Genomic DNA, 22,998 nt, shown 5'->3' with positions numbered 1-22,998 from the left:
TTTTTGTTTTTTTTTTGAGAGGGAGTCTCGCTCTGTCGCCCAGGCTGGAGTGCAGTGGCGCGATCTCGGCTCACTGCAAGCTCCGCCTCCCGGGTTCATGCCATTCTCCTGCCTCAGCCTCCCGAATAGCTGGGACTACAGGCGCCTGCCACCATGCCCGGCTAATTTTTCTGTATTTTTAGTAGAGACGGGGTTTCACTGTGTTAGCCAGGATGGTCTCGATCTCCTGACCTCGTGATCCGCCCGCCTCGGCCTCCCAAAGTGCTGGGATTACAGGCTTGAGCCACCGCGCCCGGCTGAAATCAGTGTTTTAAGATCAAAAGGTAAGCTGGATGGAGGAATAGATATTAAGTGTCTGACTGAGTTTATCAGTAATCATGACATTATGCTAGGCACTTCATTACGTGCTGTGACTCCATAAAGCACCCACTTAGGTTGTTCTGAATATGTTAATAACTTCTGAGGTTATTATCCCACTCTTACTGGTGAGGAGGCTAAGGCTCAGAAAGGACAAGACATTTGCCTAAAGGCACATGGCTAGTAAACAAAAGAAACAGGATTCAAACCACACTTGTGTGTCCAAAGATAATGTTGTTGCCACTATTTCCTTGTCCTGAGGAAGGCCAGGGTGGAATTCTGTCTTTTATATGAATTTATTCATTCAAAGATGTTATGACACAGTTCCTAGCTATAGGAGTTCCCGACTAAGTAAAGAACACAGACATAAAAGCAATAATAAACAGCACAAGTGCTACAAGGGAGCTATAACCAGACGTTTATGGGAATTCAATGTCCCCAGAGTTCTAAAACAGCCTCTTATGTAAGACTGGGAATTTAAGAATACTCTCGTTGGGCCTGAATCTGATGGTCATATTCCAACCATTTCCATTTTCATTCCTTTACTCACTTAATAAGCTTCATTAATAAGATATATATGGCTAAAGTTGTGCTTTGGTCTTAACTTTGGGCTGAAATACATCATACCGTGAATTCACCATTAAATGTTTGTGCTCCTGTCCCAAAGCTATCAAACCAAGATACCACCATTTACTGCAAACTCCACTCAACAACTTCAGTTCTTCTCAGACCAGAAGAGACCATCTGAGTCATAAATACTTCATGCACTAGGTTCACCTTTGATATTCCTTTCCCTTCCAGGCAACTGGCAGGTTAGAGCAAGTAACCTACTACAAGCAAATTGTAAGAAAATTTAGCAATAACAACACATCACACATGAAGGGACTTCTTTTTATGCTAGTATCCAACACACTAGGATCACTGTAATGAATTTTAAACAATAAAGAAAACCACCCAGGAAACACAGGGCAGGCAATTGTTATAACAATAAGTAGAGAACTGGCCTTAATTTTGGTTTGGGCATTAAAGACTAAACCAAGGACTAGGTAAGTAGTACGTACAGTGGACACAAGAGTAACAAGATTTGAATTAAATATCCACTTAAAATCATTTCCAAGAATAATATAAAAATTCCAGTTGATATAAGGGTGATGAGGGTTATTAACTCTATGGCTAGTAAACTTGCACAATGGGAAAATAATCTTCCTGAGTCAAAAGAAAATGATACCTAATTTCCCTTATCATTATCAAAACAGCAACACTGCTGGAAGTTGTACTGTGACATGACTCCAGTAGTGAAAAAGGTCATTTTGTAAAGCTATGATCAACGTGGAGAATGCAAAGATGGATCAGGTTATGCCATGCTGTTATATATCATAAGGTTTCCGTACACAAACAGTTTAGCAGGAAGGGCAATATAATATTGTTTGGAAAGATGGGAGTTTTGGGTGTGGGATAAATGTTGGAAATTCCAGACAGGTCAGGCAGGTTATTAGAACACAGACCATTCATCCATTACCTTTACCTAACATTCCCATGCTGCCCACAGTGGCAAGTTCTGTGCTAGGGCCTAGAAATGCATTCATAAGATGCACTTGGTGCTTTTCAATCCACGGTTATCCCATGCTAGATACTTCTTCTTAAGTAACTCTTTTTAAACTCCATCATTAATATTCCATACATAAGCACCTGCATATTTGTCCACAGACTGAGAAACCCCAACATCTAACTCCAGTTATATTAAAAAGCATGGCAAGCAGATATAAGATAATCAAACTTTGTGCCTAGAAAGCAAAGCTTCAGTGTGGCTGTACTTGAATACCTTGGCAGGTCTTGGGCCCACATACAGTTTGGACACTGCATTTAGGACCTCTTGGTTACTTGCTGCTGTGACCAGGCTGATAAATGGAGGTGAGAGAAAATAGAAACTGCCATTTTTGTGGCTTTTATCCTTCCAAACCTTCCTGTAATACTCAACTTGAGTTGGAAGCAACCAGGAAATCCTCAGAGAGCCTTAGGATGTCCACTCATTTTTCTCCCTTGTGCCTGAACCCCTGGGGGCATCACAGCTGACTCCAAGAGACATTCCAAGGAAATAACATAGACCAGCCAGATTTCCTCTGTTGTGTACACTCAGAGCACCCAATCTCACAGCAGGCACATGACTTTCAGCTTAAATAAATGCTCTGTGAGGTCAAGAACAGTGCATCCCGAACCCCAGGAGGCATGTGCTGGATACCTTTTAGGCACTTAACTCTGAATTAAATTGAGCTCTTACAGATAAAGCAGTTCAAACCCAGGACTCCTCAATGAGTCAGCCACGTGCTCAACTCACCACACCTTTCTTTTTCACTTCCTTCCAGTTAGAAATGCTCAAATATTCTTTGAAGGTCTCTAAGAACTTGCATGGAATCAATCTAAATGCCCATCAATGATAGACTGGATAAAGAAAATGTGGTACATATACAACATGGAATACTATGCAGCCATAAAAAATGAGACCATGTCCTTTGCAGGGACATGGATGAAGCTAGAGACCATTATCCTTAGCAAACTAATGCAGGAACAGAAAACCATATACTATATGTTCTTACTTGTAAGTGGGTGCTAAATGATGAAAACACATGGACACACAGAGGGAATGACATGCACTGGGGCCTATAGGAGGGTGGTAGGTGTGGGCAGGGAGAAGATCCAGGAAAAATAACTAATGGGTACTAGGCTTAATACCTGGGTGATGAAATCATCTGTACAACAAACTCCCATGACACACATTTACCTACATAACAAACCTGCACATCTTGCCCACGTATCCTTGAACTTTAAAATTAAAAACAAACAAAAGGAATGCTCAAATAACTACTTGCATCACAAGTACTGGCACTGAATCCTATGCTTCCCCACAGAAGTTTCCATCACACTATAGCATCAGAATGCTTACCCTTCCCCATCCAGGGCCCTGCCACAGGCTCCAAAAGCCACAGATCATGTGTGTATTGTGTGGTTCTGTAATTCCCAGGGCCAGAAGAGTGTCTGCTCAAAAGCTGTTGGCTGACTGACATGGCCAAAGTCATTTTCTGTGCTGCTTTCACTGAAGACATATAAAGGAAATGAACAAACCATAAATAAACCAAGTCACAGGTTAAGAGAAGAAAGAATGACAAAGCTAAACTAACCTTGGTTTTTAAGCCTTAAAGAACACCTAGAAATATTTAAATGATTTGCCCAAGTCAAAAAATTTAGTAGTAGAACCAAGAACAAGAAGCTAAGTCTCTAGTGGTTGACAATGAGTGAGGTATTATACTAGGCATAGCAAGAAAAGAGGCATATATTTCAGAGGGTCTGGAAACACCCCACTTACAAACATCTTTACTTCTCCAAATGGCCAACATATTTTACTTCATCATCAGAGAAGACAAAAAGCAAAACCTGTTGTGGAGTTTGGGTTATTTCTAGTCTCTTCTTTGTGATTTTCTGTATTTTTCTGATTTCTCATAGTTAAAAGGAATACCCTGGTAACAAGAAGAAAATATGTAACTACCCAAGAAGATGTATCATATGTATCATCACCACTGCAGTTCTGGGTTAGTATGGACCAAGCATTGCACTCAGAACTTCACTAGTGTTAACCGATGCAACCTCCACAGCCACCTGAGGGTACCAGTGGTCTCCACCGTACAGATGAGGATACTCCCTTCAAGAGCCCAAAGTTCCAAAACCAGCCAGGACTCCACATCAAGAGTCTGAGTCCAGAACCAGCATTCTTTACTTCTGCACTCTATTGCTTTATGCAAGGTATACACAACTAAGCTCAAGGCTTTCATGAGCAGGAAGAGGGACATGGTCATTCAAGAAACATACCACAGCAGTGGAGAAAGTGCAGAAAGGGGTTGCCAAAGGACACTGAAGGCACACTTGCATAACTCAAAACTTTTAGCTTCCTTAAGGACTTGGATACTTAGAAATATTCTTTCAGCTGAACATACACCTACTCCCCAAAAAGGTATTAGAAAATACTCAAATGGACATACAGCAAAATGGGCATAGTGTTCATTTCAGCTTCAGAAGATACACAGATGAAAGCCTGCTGTTTTCAGCCTTTATTTCCCAGAAGTTTAAGAAGACTGTCAAATCCTCTTCATTCAATTTCATTTCACAGACCTAGAATCCTACATATCTGATTTATAAAAATAACTTCAAAACTCTACTACAAATGTGCCAAAACACTAAAGAACACGTTGGTGCAAAAAAGAAAAAGAAATGGCTTTTAATCTCACCATAACTTATTACAGCTATTTACACTTTCTTATATTAATATTATTTTGACGATATGCAAAACATTTAGGACACTTGTGCAGTACCTAGATCATTTCGTATTTTGCTTTTTCATTTAATACATGTTAAGCAGTTACCCATGCTTTTACATGGATGACTTTTTAACGTCACTGGCAGCAGTGCAGCCATTGAGAGTAGTATCCTCCCACAATGGATGTGCACATCAATGGACTGGGCTTGCAGTAACACCAACTGATTTCTAGTCCACTCCTGCCAAGAAGGGCAGGTACCCACACTCATCATGGCGTCTCATTCTACTGGCATTCCCACATGGTTGTGAAATCAAAGCTCCCTTCCCAGATTGCCCAGTTCCCCTCCTGAGGGCACACTCACTTGAGAAACAAGACCTATATCAGAAGCCACTGAAAAGCCTTAGCTGGCAAAGTGAAAAGCAATGTGGAGGACCAATGATGGCTGACCCAGGAGAGGAAAAGTCAAGGCTGACAGGTTGCAGGCTCCAAGTGATAGTTCATTAATACTGGCAGCTCCTCTACAGAACTCCAAACTACTTTTGTCCTCAGGCTAATACTCTCCTTTTTTCATAAAACTTGTTTCAGCAATAAGTATCAAGTAATAAAACACCACAATCCGTTACCTGTTTACAACAAAGCTGGACCAATTCAATTTAATTAGCAGAAGCTCCTGACAGAATCTTTTTCAGGGAAGCCCCAAATAGCAGGGACACATTGAGAGCACAAAATCTTCGGGATGTGTTAAGAACATCCCTAAAGCTAAAAGCTTGCCTGTCACTTGTGCTCTGGTTGGTTACAAGAACAAAAACTATTTCTACAAGTATAAAACAGAATGTTATTTCAGGGCCATAAAAACAACTGTGACCCAGAAATTCCAAATTTAAAGTCCAAATTTAATTAAAGGATGTAATCATTAAAAGAAAAACATAGGCAAAAATATGTTCCCTATAACATCATCTACAATTTCAAATAACTGGATGGAATCTAAATTCTAAGAATATGGGCATGCTCACAGTAAATCACCCGGACAGCCCAATATGTAGCTTTGACAGTGACATTTGTATAGTATATGGGAAAATGAAAACAGTGATTAGATACATAATAAAAATCAAAAATCAAAATAATTACTGTAGTTCCAATAATTGTGCTTTGTAGCTATGTCGGCCAAGATGGAAAGAAAATGCAAAACTAAAAATAGTTGTGTTAGAGATTGTGCATTTTTTAATTATTTTTCTCTACTGCCATGGATAGGTTGTTGTATGACAAAAGACCAACTTCTTTGTAGTATTTCACTTTATTTTTTTGGTACTAAGATTTAACTAATTTTTAAATTCAAGGACAATTTTAACCCAGCATTAAAGCAAATGGCATTCACTAATTAGTGTTACACTAACACTAATTATTGATTTTTCCCCCAAAATGTATTGAGGAAATTATGTTTTATGTGGTTAAGAAAGCCCTTAAGCTATCTTAAAATCTTTCCAGAAATAACCCTGAAAAGCAGATACTGAACCCTAAAAGGAATATTCTGTTGCCAAGAAAATTAAGACTTTTAACATGCCCAGAAAGGAATTATCAGATACATTTCAAAACCATAACAAAGTATTGACATTTTTTAGGTCGATTTCAAAAAGTAAACATCAGCATGTAAGCAAGGAGCAGGCCTGAAGTTATCAATAAGCCAACCTCTTTACTTTTCAAAGTGAGCCTCGTCCAACTATGGATTGGGAGATTAAAAGGCTCATTTTCAGAAAAAGTATAGTAAATTGTTAAGTTTGCAGAAGATGATGGGATGTGGGGAGAATAAAGGATGTTTTAAAGCCCCACTGAACCCAAAATACTATGCATGGGGGTGGTATTCAAAACATTTAACCTTAGGGCCTTCAAAGCACTGACTCACCAACATTGTCATACAGCCCAGCTGATGTGAACATCCAGTATGATGGGCTTTGTTTTCTCCAGGATAGAAACCACTTACCTACAAATTGAGTCCTTATATTTTCCATGTACAGAACTGCCAGAAATCTTGTTTGGTGGGTTTACATTACAATAAAGCCCAGAAAAGAATGACACAAGAAACAGCTGCCAGAACAGTTGTCAGAATGGCCAAGGTTCACCAAATATGCCCTATGCCTGAGCAAGAGGGGATGTCAGAACACTACACTGTGGTTTTTATTTTAACTACATGCTATGAAAGCAAGAACTGCACCTTCAAAACCGACTCTCCTCTCAACATCCCTCCACAGGGGGATGGATGAGAGAAAACATAGAACAATGTTTCCTTGAAGCCTTGGAAACTGCTCCGTTGATGAAACAAGCCTACAAATGTGAAATATAAAACTTAATATTAGGTTGGTGCAAAAATAATTGCGGGTTTTTTCCTCTATAGCATCACCATCTCTATGCTATAACTCAAATTAAAACTACAGTATCAAGCAATCACTGCATGCATAGGCTTGGGACATTTTTAATGCTATCAAACATCACATATTAAATCTATTGCTACTTATCTCTCCTCCCCATCATCCTAATTGGATCCTTATGCTGAACACTCACATTCCTAAACAGTTAAAGGGTTCTAATTTTCTACAGTCATTGTAGGAGAAAAGGGCCATGGGTGAAGGAATTTTTATAGGTCCTGCCCCACCTTGCCCATAAAACAGCAGGCAAGAGACTAAGCCTCAGATCCAACCTACTACCTCCAACTCCCCCACCCTCTTCTTCCAAATGGCATTTGGAGACTCGAAAGGCTACATTATTGCATAATGAACAGGAAATATTTGAGCTCCAGAATAACTGTTAGGTAGCAGTAATTTCCTTAATCAGTGCATCTTTGGCCTGCCCTAGTCTCTGGTCCCACTGGTGTTATGTAACCATCACAAAAGTCTTAAAGACAACAAGAAAAGGCAAAAAGTCATATAGCATGTGCCTTTTGCTTTTTAACCGCCTACCACATTCTGCCCTTCCCAGCCAGTCTACTTGACGTCACTCCTAGCATTGATACGCGTGATCACTTGCAGGCTTCCAACAAACGGAGTAGGGTGTGTGTTTGTGTGTAACACAAGGTGAAAAACACTTATGTACAACCAGAGCCGTATCCAGAAGTATCCAGTTTATACTCAGTAACAGTCACAAGAATACTGTTTTTTGGAAGACTGTTATGAAACGAAAGGCAGTATGTTAGCAATTTGTGAATGAAAAATTATTTTCATCACCTTATTATTAGCACCATTCATTCATTCAATAAATATTTCAGAGCTTTCATTACAAAAAGACTGGTAAAGGTATTGTATAGCTTTCTAACTACCACAAACCCAGCAACTCATGTGCTCACTTATTGCTCAAAAATATTCATTGAATTCTAATTATATGTTAGATTCTAAGAACATGAACAAAGCTATAACCCTGATTTCCAAAAGCAGTGATTCTGAGGCCAGCTTAAATTTGAGAGTCACTTGCAAAACATGAGGCTTTTTATGTCTGTCCCCAAGATATTCTGCTCCAGTAAGAACGGCACATTAACCAGAAACGTGCCACTTTTTCAAGCATCTCCATGTGATTCCATTACAGGTGGCCTGGGAACCACATTTTAAACAGTGGTGTAAGAGACCCCAAAATATATACAGAAAAAAATAGTTGCTGAATATATGAAAGTCCAAATACATGGCATAAACAGGACTACAGAACTTCCTGGACTGAGACACCTGGACACAGGTATATGCAAAAGTTAGGCCTTGTAGTAGCCCATCAATGAAAAGTGAAACCTGGATAAACAGGAAACAAACAGGCTTAAGGCAATCTGAAAATGTTCTCTGAATATAAGACAAGGGAATCCATGAAAAATGGCAAGGATATAGTGCTAAATAACCAAAAATCAGTATCTTGGTTCTTTAAATCTCATTTTCCCCAAACAATCCTTTAGTTAGGAAAACACTTATGTACAACCAGAGCTGTATCCAGAAGTATCCAGTTTATACTCAATAATAGTCACAAGAATATTGTTTTTTGGAAGAATGTTATGAAATGAAAGGCAGTATGTTAGCAATTTGTGAATGGAAAATTATTTCCATCACCTTAATAGCACCATTCATTCATTCAATAAGTATTTCAGAGACTTCATTATAAAAAAGACTGGTGGATCCACCCAAGCTGCATGGATCTCACAGACGTGATCTCACAATTTTAGGAAAAATACTTGCACACTATATTTCATTTCTATCATGAAATTATAATAACTTATCAAAATTAAAACACAATGGGAATTTCATACAACCCCTTTGTTTAATGACTACACAATATGAGGGCCACAAAGGCCTTGTGACTAATCCAGATCACACACTTCATGGAAGGCAGAACTGGGGCTAGAACCCAGGTCTCCTGCCTCCCAGCCAACCAAACTCCACGCAATCCTCCTACTATAAAGGTCAACATCCCAATTCATCTAAGTCCTCTTCAAAGGCCACATCTTGAACTCTAATGCAATTTCCTTCTGTTTGACAGACAGAAGGCATCAGCAAAAAAAAAAAAAGGTAATTTAATTTTCTAGAAATTAACTAAAACATGGATCTTTATAAACAGTTGGTATTATGTATCACCGCATGCTGTGCTAGAGTGAGTGTTACTTCTAAAAATACTAAAGCTTCTCTGATGGAATTGGATCCAATATCAATTTTTGGCTGGCAACCTATGCAAAGTCTTGCTTCACACTGAAGATCTATAAAAGGGCAGTTGGCAGGATTTTACCCGTTAATACTTAGTGCCCAATATACAATTCTCCCTTGAGCTAGAAAAAAATCTACCCAGAACTTTTTGGTTGAAATTAAAGCTACCCATTTAAAAAAAATGAATAAATAAAAAGCTACCCATTAAAAAGAAGAAAAAAAAGCCTCCAAGCCAGCTGCTAAGGCATCTAGCTCTAAATGTATGCTGTTAACTCTACTTCTCTTACCTTAAGATCTTTAAATCAAAATGTCTGAAGTCAGCAAGGCAAGCCACATTTCATCTGGTAGACCCAGTTATGCATACTTACACAAATAGATAAATGTGCATGCACATACACACACACACACACACACACACACACACACACACACACACCCAAGATATAGTTATCTGGGCATCCCCAGAACTAGAGATGCATTTTTAAGCTTGGCACTGCATTTGAGAAATAGATTAATGTTCCTACTCTACTTCCAGCCAATCAAAAGATTGTATTTAGATAGAAGGCATGTATACAGAAGTGAGGGGGTACAGAGAAGAGTTAGATACTTCATGAATGCCCACGTGCCAGTAACAATGCTAAACGTCTGATCCATTCTGGCTCATTTAAGATACAGTCTATTATTTTGAATGATATAATCGTGTTTTAAAGAAGAAACTGAGACTCCGGGTAGCTTCACCAGGGTCTCACAGTCACGTCTCAGATATTTAATATTTTGTACCTTACACTGCAAAAAAGAGAAATCACTCCTCTGACCCAAAAGAACTTAGAGCTCTTAAATCTCTGTGAACTCATCATTACAACCACTCTACACTCAACAACACCAGGAGAAAAGTAAGAAGCCCGAGACATGAAGAGGTTAAAACACAACAGAGAGGAGGCTAAAGCCAAGTCTTCCCAGACCACTGTTATATTGAGTCACTAGAGCAGTAAAAATAAACAATCCCCATGGTTTGTGTACAAAGAGCCACACGGCCTCTCTGGATGCCAGCTGTCTTTTCAGCTAGTGCCATCTGGAACCTCTATCTCAGGAGGTTCACCTGGGTTTTATCCTTTGTCTACACAGTTATCACAGAGGGATGAAGGGGCAGGGTAGGATGACAAACACCTTTTTGAAATGCCATCAGAGCACCGCCACAGCAATTTATTTTTTAATTTACTATATTCATAGCAATTCATAGAAATTATACTCTCAGAATTAAAATTTTTCATGCCAATGTGACATTAAAAATACCTTGTAATAATGATTACTTTATTGTTTGTGATTTTAAAAGTCAAATAACAGATAGGGTCTGCTTGCTAACACTTGACGTCTGTTACTTTTCACCATAGCCAAGAAGGTCACAGTTTCAGGCCTTTACTTCCAGAAGAGCTCTCGGGTGGGCCAGGAATGAAGAACCCAGCAAAGCGGTTAGGGATCCAGCACCTTCTGAGAGCTCTGCCATTATTCCCCAACGATCAAGCTAGCTCTCTGCCTCATAGGAAGATGAGCTGTAGGTGGGCTCTGGGCACTATCTAAGCTTTGGAGCAATATATGGCGCTGCAGGATGAAAACAGGGAACAGGACAGGATGGTGTCTCATTGGTGAGTGCTAATAAAAACAGCAGCTGACGTTTTATTCCTTGAGTGTATTGAAAAAACTCTGGCTTTGGAATCTGGCAGTTTTTACCGGCAGTCCCAATTCTTCTATTTAGTAAGTTAAACATGTTATTCAGTCTTTGGCACCTCCAATACAGGGTAGTTGTGACAATTACATGAGGAGAGGTACATCCAGCACACGACCAGGGCCTGACAGAAAGTGGAGGTTAAAGAAGATTATCCTGGCTCAGACCTGCTCAGGGAACCAGTAATGGGGGAGGGGAAGCTGAGCCAGCCCCCAAATTTGGTAGTTAGAAAGGAGACTATTTTCAAGGCCTCCTCTTCCTCGACTCTTCCACAAATTAAAGTGCTCAGATATCTATGAGAGACACGGGAGGTAAAGGCAGTTCTCCAAAGGAATGTGAAGAAGACATATTGGAGGCCATACTTTGGAGAGGGACTGTCAAATGTCCACAAGAATCTGCAGAAAGCTATGGGAGCCATTCCTCCAAAAAATGCATTCATACAAACATATAACATTTTGCATCTAATTTCAGGGAGTCCACAGATCCTTACACATTCCTTATTCAATGGCCTTCGATTTACTGGTAAAGGTTACCTGATATGTCTTAAAGTAACTGCACTAGACTGCCATTGTTTTACTCTTTAAAAAAATAAAAATCATTACTGCCATTTTAAAAATCCATGAGCATGAAGATTTTAAGAAAATAAAATCAAAAACAGAGCAGGAAATAAGAGAGAGATGAGGACACAGTCCAACTAGGACCTTAATGAAGCCACACCTCTGGCCCAGCGAGGCTTCTAGAAGGGGCAGCTGTGTGGTCCTCTAACCTCAGAGTGGCTCAACTGTCCCTCACAAAGGTCCCTGTCCCCCGCAACATGCTCCTGCCATTCCCAACCATGGCCTCAGGCCAGAGCAATCTGAAAGCACTCACATGGGCTCATATCCCCTTGACATATGGAGGCAATAAAAGAAGCAGGTGCCAGGTGGAGGTCAGACCCGTCCCAGACCCACACCTGCCGAGGCACAAACATGGGCTCCCACAGGCTCCATCTGCTGTGTCCTGCGGCCAGAGCCTCCCTCTGGGAACCAAAACCAAAGAGCCAAGTGGACACCTCCCCAGCCTCACAAGACAGTCCATCAGCTCAGGTAGGGAAGATGAGATGGGGAAGACTGAAGTAAAGGACAAGGAGAAGAAAACAGCTTTTCTGCTCTGCTTCATCAACCACAGTCAGTGAGACCGATGCTGTCACATGGTTTTCTCTAATTGCCTTGAGGTAAGCATGGGGTTTAAGACATACCTCCTGGGACAGGTTTCCCATGAAGACACAAAGTGACCTCAGCCTCCCTTTCACACTGAAAAACGATACCCCCAGTATGTGAAGCTTCAGACAGGAAACTGATTAAGAAGGAAGAAATCTACCCCACCTCCTACCCTGCCAATTCCTGTACCTAAGCTGCTTCCACAGGGCTTACTTTTCTTCTTCAGTTTTTAACTAAGACAAGAAGAAAGCACAAAGAGGCAGAAGTGCCAAGTTGAAGTTCTGGTTCTGCCACTTACTAGCTCTTTGCTACTAAGGAAAAGAGACTAACTTTCCCCATTGGAAATGTACTCTCTTTGCCTTGTTTCCCTGTCTGTAAAATAGAATTGATCTCTGCCTGATTATCACACAAGGTATTGTCCAGAGGATCCCATGAGATGAGAAAAGTAGGAATGCGTTTTAAATAGCTCCATACTGGTAAGAAAGTGTCAGAAATTATCAGGTGACTTGCAAGTTAGGAGGCAATGAAAGGAGGTGGACTGTAAAAAACGAACTGTGTGTTGCCACAGTAGTAATTCTGCTCATTCCACACAGCAATATAAAGTGGGGCTTCTGGACCAGGATTCAATCAACAACAGATGTGGACTATCTGGCCTCTGCAGGCTGCTCCCACCAAGGGAACCAGAATACCATCCACTCACCACCTCCCCCTGCCCATTCACACAGGATGAACCAATGTTAAAGGGGCACCTACAGAGCATGGTGAGACGAGAACACAACTAAAAATGCAAGCATGAGAGAGTGCCAAAATGTGCATGTTCATTAAAATGCAGGCCAGCCCCCTCCCAAAAAAAGTATGGCCAGAGGGAAAGGGACACAATCTGTCAGGCCAACTCTAGCCAAGGTTTACAAACAAATTAAATAGAAGAACAATTTTCATCTCACTCACACTCTGAACAGATATTCCTCATTTACCAATTGCAAATCAAAATTGTTCTTCCTCAGTACCCCAACATTTCCACTTGACCCAACATCTACCAAGAAATGGATAGTTCCCAAAGCCTGGGCCTAACACTTCACACAGCACAGAAGCAAATGGAAAACACAGACCATACTGCCTATACCCTTTCTCCACTAAAAGGAATCTGGGATCCTCAAAGGAACAGATGGCTCCAGGGCTAGAGTATATACAAGATGAGCCTGATCACATTGTTATGCCAGAAAGTGAAAAATTTGTCAAAAGTAAGTGATGGGAACATGCCACATGGACACAGGAGCCATCTTGAAGGGGCCCCCACTAGCCAACTCAAATTTGATTGAGGGCTCAAATTGAGTACAGTGGTAAATTATGAACCAACGGAAAATGGGAACTCTTGAGTGCACACAAAAAATAAATAAATAAAATTATATGAGACTCTTGCTTAGAGCAGAATGTCAAAGGCTAAATGGTAAACATGGAAAGAGCATGGAGATGGAAAATCATGTTTGCGCACCTATCACTGTGAAGACTGGACCCAGTAATAATCATCAATGGATGCTAAATCTTGCACTGACTTTGAGGAGAAGGAGGATATCTATATGACCTTACAGTAGCTCCCCACAGACCACTTATTGCAAGGGAAGAAAGAGAAAACAATAATTATATAATCAGGAAACTAGACAACACTGTGAAAGGATGTTAAAAATCATCGCCACCGATGGGCATAAGGTGCCTGCAGGTTGGACATCCTGGCAAGGACACATCACTATGCAATATTCCAACTGAGATTGCATCACCCTGAATCTAATCATGAGGCAGCAACAACCTCAAACTGACAGCCACTGCATTTTTAACGGGCAGGATGCAGTCTTAAAAACGAGATAAACCAAGGCTGTGCAAATGTTTCAGATTAAAAGAAACGAACGAATGAAATAAAATGAAGTATTTGACCCCAGACTAGAACCTGTATGAGACAGAAAAATATTATTCAAAATGTAATTGGGTTAACTTGTTAATTGGAATATAAATATTAGATCTGATTTTTTAAATTGTATCAATGTTAAATTTACTCAAGTTGATAATAGTGCTGCGGTTATAGTATAAGAGAATATCCCAATTCTTAGGAAATAAATACTTAGGTAATTAGAAGTAAAGGACCATGATATAGTAACATATCCTCAAAATGGTTCAGAAAAATATATGGTGGGTGGTGTGTGTGTGTGTGTGTGTGTGTGTGTGTGTAGGAAATTATAAATAGGGTTAAATATAAGAAAAGGTGAATTAGATAAATAAATGGACAGGTATTCTTTGTAATTTTTTTCTGTAAATTTGAAATGATTTCCAAGCAAAAAGAAAATGCAAACAAAAAACATATTGAACCTTCATTCTCCGATTACATTTTTCATGAAACATTGTCCAGTCTTAACTTTCAGAACATCAATCTCTTCTGGATTTCTCTCTGACTTGTCCTTCACAGGCAACCTTCTTCTTAATTCATTCCCTAAGATTGATAGGTCATTTTGTTCTCAGTCTACACACTACCCTATATAGAATCTAATTCCATTTGAACTACATACGTATACAACACCTAAGGCCACATATCCCACAACTCTACTTTCTGAACCTCGCCAGCTAGCTTCCCACAAGCTCCTCCTATGGACAGGACACATCTTCTACACCTGGCAACATTCAGACGTATCGTAGGGACCTTAGACACCAGAGACTAACTTCTCATCCCTCACCCTTAACCACTAAAGGGCCCACTCCGATGGAAGGACAAGGGGAAAGAACAGAACCAGGGCTTTATTTCACCCTTCCAAACAGTGAACTAAAGCAGAACGAATGCAAAGATAGGAAAGGGGAAGGGGAAGGGGAAGGGGAAGGGGAAGGGGAAGGGGAAGGGGAAGGAAAGGAAAGGAAAGGAAAGGAAAGGAAAGGAAAGGAAAGGAAAGGAAAGGAAACGAAAGGAAACGAAAGGAAAAGGGAGGGAGGAAGGGAAGGAAGAAGCAAGGAAGGAGCAGGTATAATTTCATTCTGCCATATTACAGCAAGCATAGTTCTTACTCTCAAAAACTGCGGCAGAGGATTGGCAGTCTTTGAGTCTTGGTTTTCATGCCCCAAGCACATACCCTGCCAACGGAGTGACCAAAAGGTGAGGCTCAGGATCCATTATTCTTTACTTACCGTGCCTGCTCTGACTTCCTCATTTTGAAATTAAGGACATCAAGAGCACCTACCTACCAGCCCACTTTCTCAGAGAATAAGACAAACCCAGGGTCACATGAGAAAACCACAGGTACTGTTCAATCCCAATTAATATTCTTCCACATTTTTTAATTGGTATCACTTTTTTTTTGGTCTTTGTAGAGGTATTAAAAGAATAAAGTTGTGGACACCTATGATGAAACATGAGTATCCCACAGGTGGCGCCGAATCTGGAAATAGGAGGTTCTTTGCTCACAAGTGGCCTGGACACCCAATTCTAGTGTCCTTATTTACTATGGAAGCATTTTTAATCATGCTGCCTCTTAAGAGATCCTCCCCCTTGGAAGAATGCTACTGAAATTATTCCCCTGCCCCTGGCAGGTTTCTGACTAAAAATTGGAAGCTATCCTCCCATTTAGACACTGCAGATGGCTTATTTGCATATTACGATTCTCCTAGTTGATGACTGTTTGGGGGGATTACGGGATGAAGCAGATGGGTGGACAAACTTTTTTTTAATGTACCACCCTGGCAAGTAACCAGGCTAATAAATAATCCCTAAATAATAAATTTTCAAAACAACTCCTAATGCATATTCATTAAAAGGTTACAAGCAACTGTTTATGAATGCAGAAATTTCCAAATGAAAAATAGGGAAATAGCCTGATTCTAGTTTTCCCAAAATTTACCTTTGGGAATAATCAAAAGAAGACAGATCTCCTGGCTCTGGAGGCAGAAATTAGCAACCTAAAGAACATTACACAAACTAGGAACATTCACTGTGGAAAACTGAGGCCAGAACAGTTATAAAAATTAAGGGTTGTAGAGCAACATTTTTATTGGGCAAAGTAGAAAAAGTCAAAAACTGCGGCACTTATGGCATACTGCAAGTGCAAAAGAGTTATCCTAGTTTTGCTCCCAAATCACCAGAAATTTTACAGTAAAATTTGTTTTTGTCCTGAGTGATCCATGTAATGGCTTTAACTCTCCACCACTTACCACATGAAGGCAGGTAATGTGCACACTGAAGAACACGCATCTTTTAGTGAGTCCTAGGTGCCCTCACAGCCATGAGCCAGGCTTTGGCACAAAAACTTCACCTCAAACTTGAAGTATCATCCTGACATCAATACTTTAAACAGAGTTAAAGAACATGATCTTGATCTCTCCTCTCTTATCTGATTATATCTGTAAAACTTCTTGGCAATATTCTGTATGAATCAGGCATTGATTCCAATAAAATAAAGACACAGGATACAAAGTCATCATATGATTGTGATCATGGGATATGTTACAAAAAGCAGGAATTGAATGAAGGTGCCACAAAAATCATCAGGACAATTCAACCCAATGGCTGATTAAGAGGCAGGTCTTGCACGTAGTTGCGGACATAAATTAGCACAGTCTTTCTAGAAGTTAATTTTGTGATATGTATGATTCGGAAATTGTAGTTCAGCTATACCTCCAAAGAAATAATCCTGCATATCAAAACTGTTTTATGCATAAAGACATTCATTGTAAAATTATCTACAATGAAGGAAAATGGCAACAATCTATACATTCACAGATTATTGATAACCCAAATCATGATACAACTACATTAGAAAGCTGTCTACAGGCATTGAAATTAGTCTTCAAAAGGGCATTAATATGACACAAATTTTACATGTTTTTCATACACGAAAACCACAGCAATCAACTGAAACTCTGTCAACATCTTTAAACGCTGGAAAACTTTCTCATGAACTACACATTATAAGTATTTTTTAAAAACTCATTTTCTGATAACTAAACTACCAGGGTATATTTGGTGAGCTTCAAAGCTACTGACTCCAAATATTTTGAAGATAATGCCCCTCTGCTTACCTCCCCCTTTCAGACCCCTCTGACATCACCAATCTAAAACATGCTCCTCATTCTTTCCTACTGTTCCTGGACTCACTGAAGGGCTCCATCATCTAGCAGGTCACTCATACCAAGATACCTAGGCTTTACCCTTGACTTCTCCCTCTCCCTCCACATTCAATCACCATGTCTGATAAATTCTATCTTGAAAAATCTTTCTGATGCCTCCATTTCTCTCCAATCCCATTGCTGGACTGCTTGACCAATTTGCTGGTGGCAAAAGCCACCAGTTTCTCATGCCCAGAGTACTGCACCAACCCTCTTCTGTCTGCCCTTCCAAACTAGCACAGTCAGTGGTTTGCCTTGGTTAGTAGTTGCATGTCTGCGAGCCCATTACTCATCTTCTCTGTGCTTCAGTCTCATCAGTTAAATGGATACAATAATAGTATCTACCTCATAGGGTTGTTGGGAGTAATAAATTAAGTAACATGCGTAAGCTGTTAAAACAGTGTCTGACACCTAAAAAGCACTGTGTAAGTATTTGCTATTTTTCCTTTTATACACTTGTTCCTCACTGGATACCCAGTGCAAAATGCAGTGTATGGTGCGTAGCAGATCCTCCATAAATGTTTACTGAATGGTTGTTTTAGGCATATACTGATCACATACCAGTAAGATTCAGGTCAGAGTATCTCTTAATGCTGCACTATCCTTATTTCTACCAGCTCTTCATAACAATGTGAAATGGAGCCTTGATTTAACTTCATGGGTTAATCTGAAAATAAAATGGCTCTAAAATTGAATTTTTTGAAATATAAAATTTTATAAAATCAGTTATTCCAACTACTTGTTTCCTGACCAATTTAAAAAAAATCATACTAAATTTCCAATCATCTGTCTGATTTTCTCAGAAAACTTCAAGATACTACATCACAGAATCAGAAATCAAAGGGAAAAGCATTTAACACTCCAGGCTGATGACAATGAATTCTAATGAGAGAATAAACTGGTACATTTCACAGTATATATGAAGAGTCTATTAAAAAGCCCCATTAAAACATTCTCTAAAGAAATAATCAGATATGGATAAGTATTTATACATAAATGTGTCCATGTCAATTTTCTATTGTGAAAAAATGGACAGAGCCTAAATGCCCAACAACAAAAGAATGTTTAAATAATTTATGGTTCACTCACTTATTTTATTTTATTTTTTTTTTGAGATGGAGTTTCACTCTTGTTGCCCAGGCTAGAGCGCAATGGTGACTCTTGGCTCACTGCAACCTCTGCCTCCCGGGTTCAAACGAATCTCCTGCCTCAGCCTCCCGAGTAGCTGGGATTACAGGTGCATGCCACCAAGCCCAGCTAATTTTTGTATTTTTAGTAGAGACGGGGTGTCATCATATTGGTCAGGCTGGTCTTGAACTCCTGACCTCAGGTAATCTGCCTGGCTCAGCCTCCCAAAGTGCTGGGATTACAGGCGTGAGCCACCATGCCCCACCTCACCTATTCTTTTAAATAGGTAGTCAGCCATTCAACAATCAGGTTTTTTGAAAATATTTAAGACAACAGGGGAAATTCTCAAATATAGTTGAGTAGGGAAGGCTGAAAGAAGGCTATAAGGAAATACATCCATGTACACACAGCAGCCCACTCCAGCTGTGGAGATGATGAATCACTTCCTTCTCTGTGCCAGAGTTCAAAGCCCAGCTCTGCCATCAACTAGGGGATCTTGAGCAAGTTACTATGCCACGGCTTCTGCACTTGTAAAGTAGGTATAATGGGATTCGTAAGATTAAATTAGTTACTGCACATAAAGTGCTGAGAATTGTATCTAGCGCACAGTTAAGTACCATACAGTTGGTTGATAATATTACTACTTTTTTGTACTTAAACTTTTCAAAATGATCTTATGTCATTTTTGGAATTTAAAAAAATCAATAAACGTTACTAAAAGCGCTGAATTTTTAAAAATAAGCCAACTTTGGACTTTTTCAGACGTTTCTCTCTTTCTCTCTCTCTCTTGCAAGGAGATGCTCTCCTCTCTCCTTTCTTCTATTAAACTTTCAACTCCTTAAACCACACACACACACACACACACACAAAATAAGCCAAATTTGGCAAAAATTTAGTTCAATATATAAGTTCACAATCTCTTCTCTGAAACCTTTGGGGACCAAAGTGTTTCCAAGTATAGAATGTTACAAACTTTAGAAGAGTGATACAGCATATTTACTAAATAAAGCCCCAAGCCAGGTCTAGGCCAGCACCCTACAGTCAAGCGCATTAACATTCACACAAAACCAGGTAAATAAAGACTATAAATACCTTTACATCAACACAGGCAAGGTTTTACTGCTAACTGAATTATGAAGAAACGTCACATTTTCCAGCGTTTTTTAAATTTCCAAACTATGAATAAGGGGTCATGAGTTTACTATTATCAAATGCTGGCACCATGGTGGCACCTCAGTCCAGAATGGCACATGGCTCACTTATGCTCCTCTCCATGTATGAAGAAAGTAACAATTTCCTAACTCTCCAACCCTGGTAGAATCCCATTAGAGAAGGGTATATCAATGGAGGTACTACTGACATTTTGGACTAGATAATTCTTTACTGAGGTATTTTTTTGTCCTGTGCATTGCAGGATGTTTAGCAGCATCCTTGAGCTCTACTTACCAGATGCTGGTAGCACCTTTCCAGTCGTGGTAACCAAAAATGTCTCCAGACATTGCCAAACATCCCCTTTAGCAGGAAAGCAAAATCATCCCCGGTTGAGAACCAATGCAAACTGGAGGGAAAAAAATCTATTGCTTTCCTCTCCATTTTCTACAACAGAACTCCCAACTGCAACTTCTGCTGTAGTGCAGCTTATTTTAGAAAGCCTTATGACTCTCCTCCACCCATTTCTATCCCCTAAACCCTAGCCAAAATGAACTGCTTGATTTTTGTCCCACAATACAACACGATTTTTACAACTCAAGTCTTGAGCTGGAGACTGGGCTCCACCCAAGATATCTGATCCTACCTTCTCTCGCGCTCACAAACAGAAGATGGTCCTGACATACAACCTTCCAAATACGCTATTTCTCACTTTAAGCAATAGGACCAGAGAGGTGAACAAGCTACATATGTCAAGACACTTGACTCCAAAAGCAAGCAATTTGTCAGCTGAAAACTCAGTTAGCTAGTTTCCAGTATCTATGGAATTGGTGAGACAGGTAGTAATCACATAGGTCAACATTTCCCAAACTATTTTTTCCCAGAAACTGTCTCGAAAGATGTTAACAGGCATCTTCAAATATGTGATACTCAAGTGAGCCTGAAAATTTATCTTTGGCAGTTTTTTTGTTGTTCTTAAAACCACATGAGCACGTTAAGCCTTTAACATGCTAGTTATTTTAGGAAGCTCCAAGGAATAATCAAGGACACTGCATTTTCCAAATTTATTTGGCCATGAAATCCCATTTGCCTTCTACTCCAATGATGCCTATTTCCCTGAGGAGGGTTCCAAGGAGCACTGGGAAACAATGATAGAGATCTAATTCCCAGGGACAATCCTAAAACCATCTTTCAGCTATGGGTTTCCACTTATTTCTTAACAAACCTACATATATGTACAACTTTATATACTGCAGCATTGTTCAAAGGAGCAAACTGGAAACATTTTAAATGTCCACCAATAGCATATTCCTTAAATACATCATGGCATAATAATACAACAGAATACTACCCAACTATGAAACAATGGGGAAGCTCTTGGTGTACTGAAATAATCTACAGAGCACATGAAGTAAAAACAACCAGACAGACCCAGAATATTATAGTATGTATGCTAGCATTCCTAAAAGAAAGGAAGGCACAGAGACAAGGAAAGAGAACACACACAGATTTGCCAACATTTGCAGGAACTGTCTTTAGGAAAACATGGTAACAGTAACAATGGTTGCCTCTGGGAAGGAAACTAGCTAGGGGAAGGAGTAGAATTCAGACATCACTGTCTAACCTTTTATACTACGCTGACTGTATTATCTATTCAGAAATAAAAGTAACAAATAAGTGCATAAACTAATTTTTATTAGTCTGTATGGTATAAAAATCAGACAATAAGATGCAAAAATCTACTAAACCAACAGGCTATATTAACAAAAAAAAAGGGACTTACTATATTCAATGATACGATTTTTAAGGTTGACACCTTCTTGATTTTTTAAATTATACAGGAGAAAATACTTTTTGATAAGGCAGTAACAATATTTTGTTCCCCTGCATGATTTCAAAAGATTCATAATCTAGTTATTTGCTTTGCTATATCATTTGTAGCCTCCTCTGACTCTCAGACCCCCAGATCTCTCCCCTTCTTTCTCTACCACTTCAACATAATCAAAATAAAAATACTACCCCACAAAAAGTACACCACCTTCCTTCATTAGCTCAGTGTATATTGGATCAGTTTGGGTAGATTTCTCCTTGTTGATTTTAATTTTTTTAAGCACCAATAGAAGTAATTAGCTAGCACTAAAGTTATACCCATATATTATGTTTTGCCCTCAATGGAAAAAAATGCAGCTGCTAACTTCTGGAAAATGGGTTGCTGACTCACTGTGTGTATCACAAAAGTCATCATGCTTCTTTCCTAGCCTCATATTTCTTTTATAAACAAATCTGAAAGCTTCCTAATTTATCTCTTTTTTTCCAGAAACATAAGTGCTTCATCTACTGTGTGATACTCCTGTACACAAACAGCTTAGTAAATATATTTTCCCTAAAACATTAAGGCTGATGTAGAATAAGTGTTAATGGGTAAGTAATCCACCTTACTGATCAAGGGCATCATTAATAAAGGTAACCTGAAGAAAGCTGAATGCAGGCTGCCTCTGAATCTCAATTCCCAGAAACATCTCTCTGGGGTCCTGCCATTGAGCACAAATTTTAACTTTCTCATTCACAGAACAACAATTTTTCTATCATGCAGTAGAAAAAGTAAAATGGAGCAAAAACATTTTAAGCTGCTAGAGCAAATTAATCAGCTGATTAAAATGATTACAGTAGTTTTTGACTGAGTTCTAGAAAGTTAGCATTAAAAATTTTCCTATAGAAAATAAATACAGAATTATGTTAATGAAGATCTCTGTAATTAAGTAGTGTGGGTTTTTTTTTTTAACTTTCGTCCTAAGTTTTTAACAATAAACACATATTAACGAGGGGAATTTTTTTTTTTTTTTTTTTTTTTTTTGAGACGGAGTCTCGCTCTGTCGGTCACCCGGGCTGGAGTGCAGTGGCGCAATCTCGGCTCACTGCAACCTCTGCCTCCTGGGTTCAAGAACTTCTCCTGCCTCAGCTTCCCGAGTAGCTGGGATTACAGGCGCCCGCTGCCACGCCTGGCTAATTTTTGTATTTTTAGTAGAGACGGGGTTTCACTGTGTTAGCCAGGATAGTCTCAATCTCCCGGCCTCGTGATCCGCCCACCTCGGCCTCTCAAAGTGCTGGGATTATAGGCATGAGCCACCGCACCCAGCCAATGAAGGGAAATTTTAAAATCAAGGAAAAATGACAAATGAAAAGAATATACATCTTAAATACCCAATTTATTCATAGGAAATACAGGTAGGCTATCATATGGATTTATCTGAGAATTCCTAAAATATCCCAGTAAACACTTCTTGTAAAACAGACTCCAGAAAGGTCCATATCTCACCCTGCTACGGGGTGCTCACCAG

At 39.5% G+C, this 22,998-nt stretch overlaps 1 protein-coding gene across 3 annotated transcripts in view; it reads right to left on the bottom strand.

Moving 5' to 3' along the window:
• The window catches only part of SH3GL2 (SH3 domain containing GRB2 like 2, endophilin A1), a 218,059-nt gene that overhangs the window by 158,952 nt on the left and 36,109 nt on the right, over positions 1-22,998 (bottom strand). Inside the window, exon 1 of one of the 3 annotated variants that reach the window (XM_011518005.4) lies at positions 19,958-22,474. The exons of the other annotated variants lie outside the window; for them this stretch is intronic. Coding sequence (XP_011516307.1) covers positions 19,958-20,104 — 147 coding nt within the window. The 5' untranslated portion in view covers positions 20,105-22,474. Of the gene's footprint in view, positions 1-19,957; positions 22,475-22,998 lie in introns of those variants that run through there. 3 annotated transcript variants of the gene reach the window in all.

This window comes from Homo sapiens, chromosome 9 (assembly GCF_000001405.40).
Source record: "Homo sapiens chromosome 9, GRCh38.p14 Primary Assembly".
Lineage (NCBI taxonomy): Eukaryota > Metazoa > Chordata > Mammalia > Primates > Hominidae > Homo > Homo sapiens.
The sequence above is the reverse complement of the archived record's forward strand: the minus strand, read 5'-3'. Positions and strand labels throughout refer to the sequence as shown.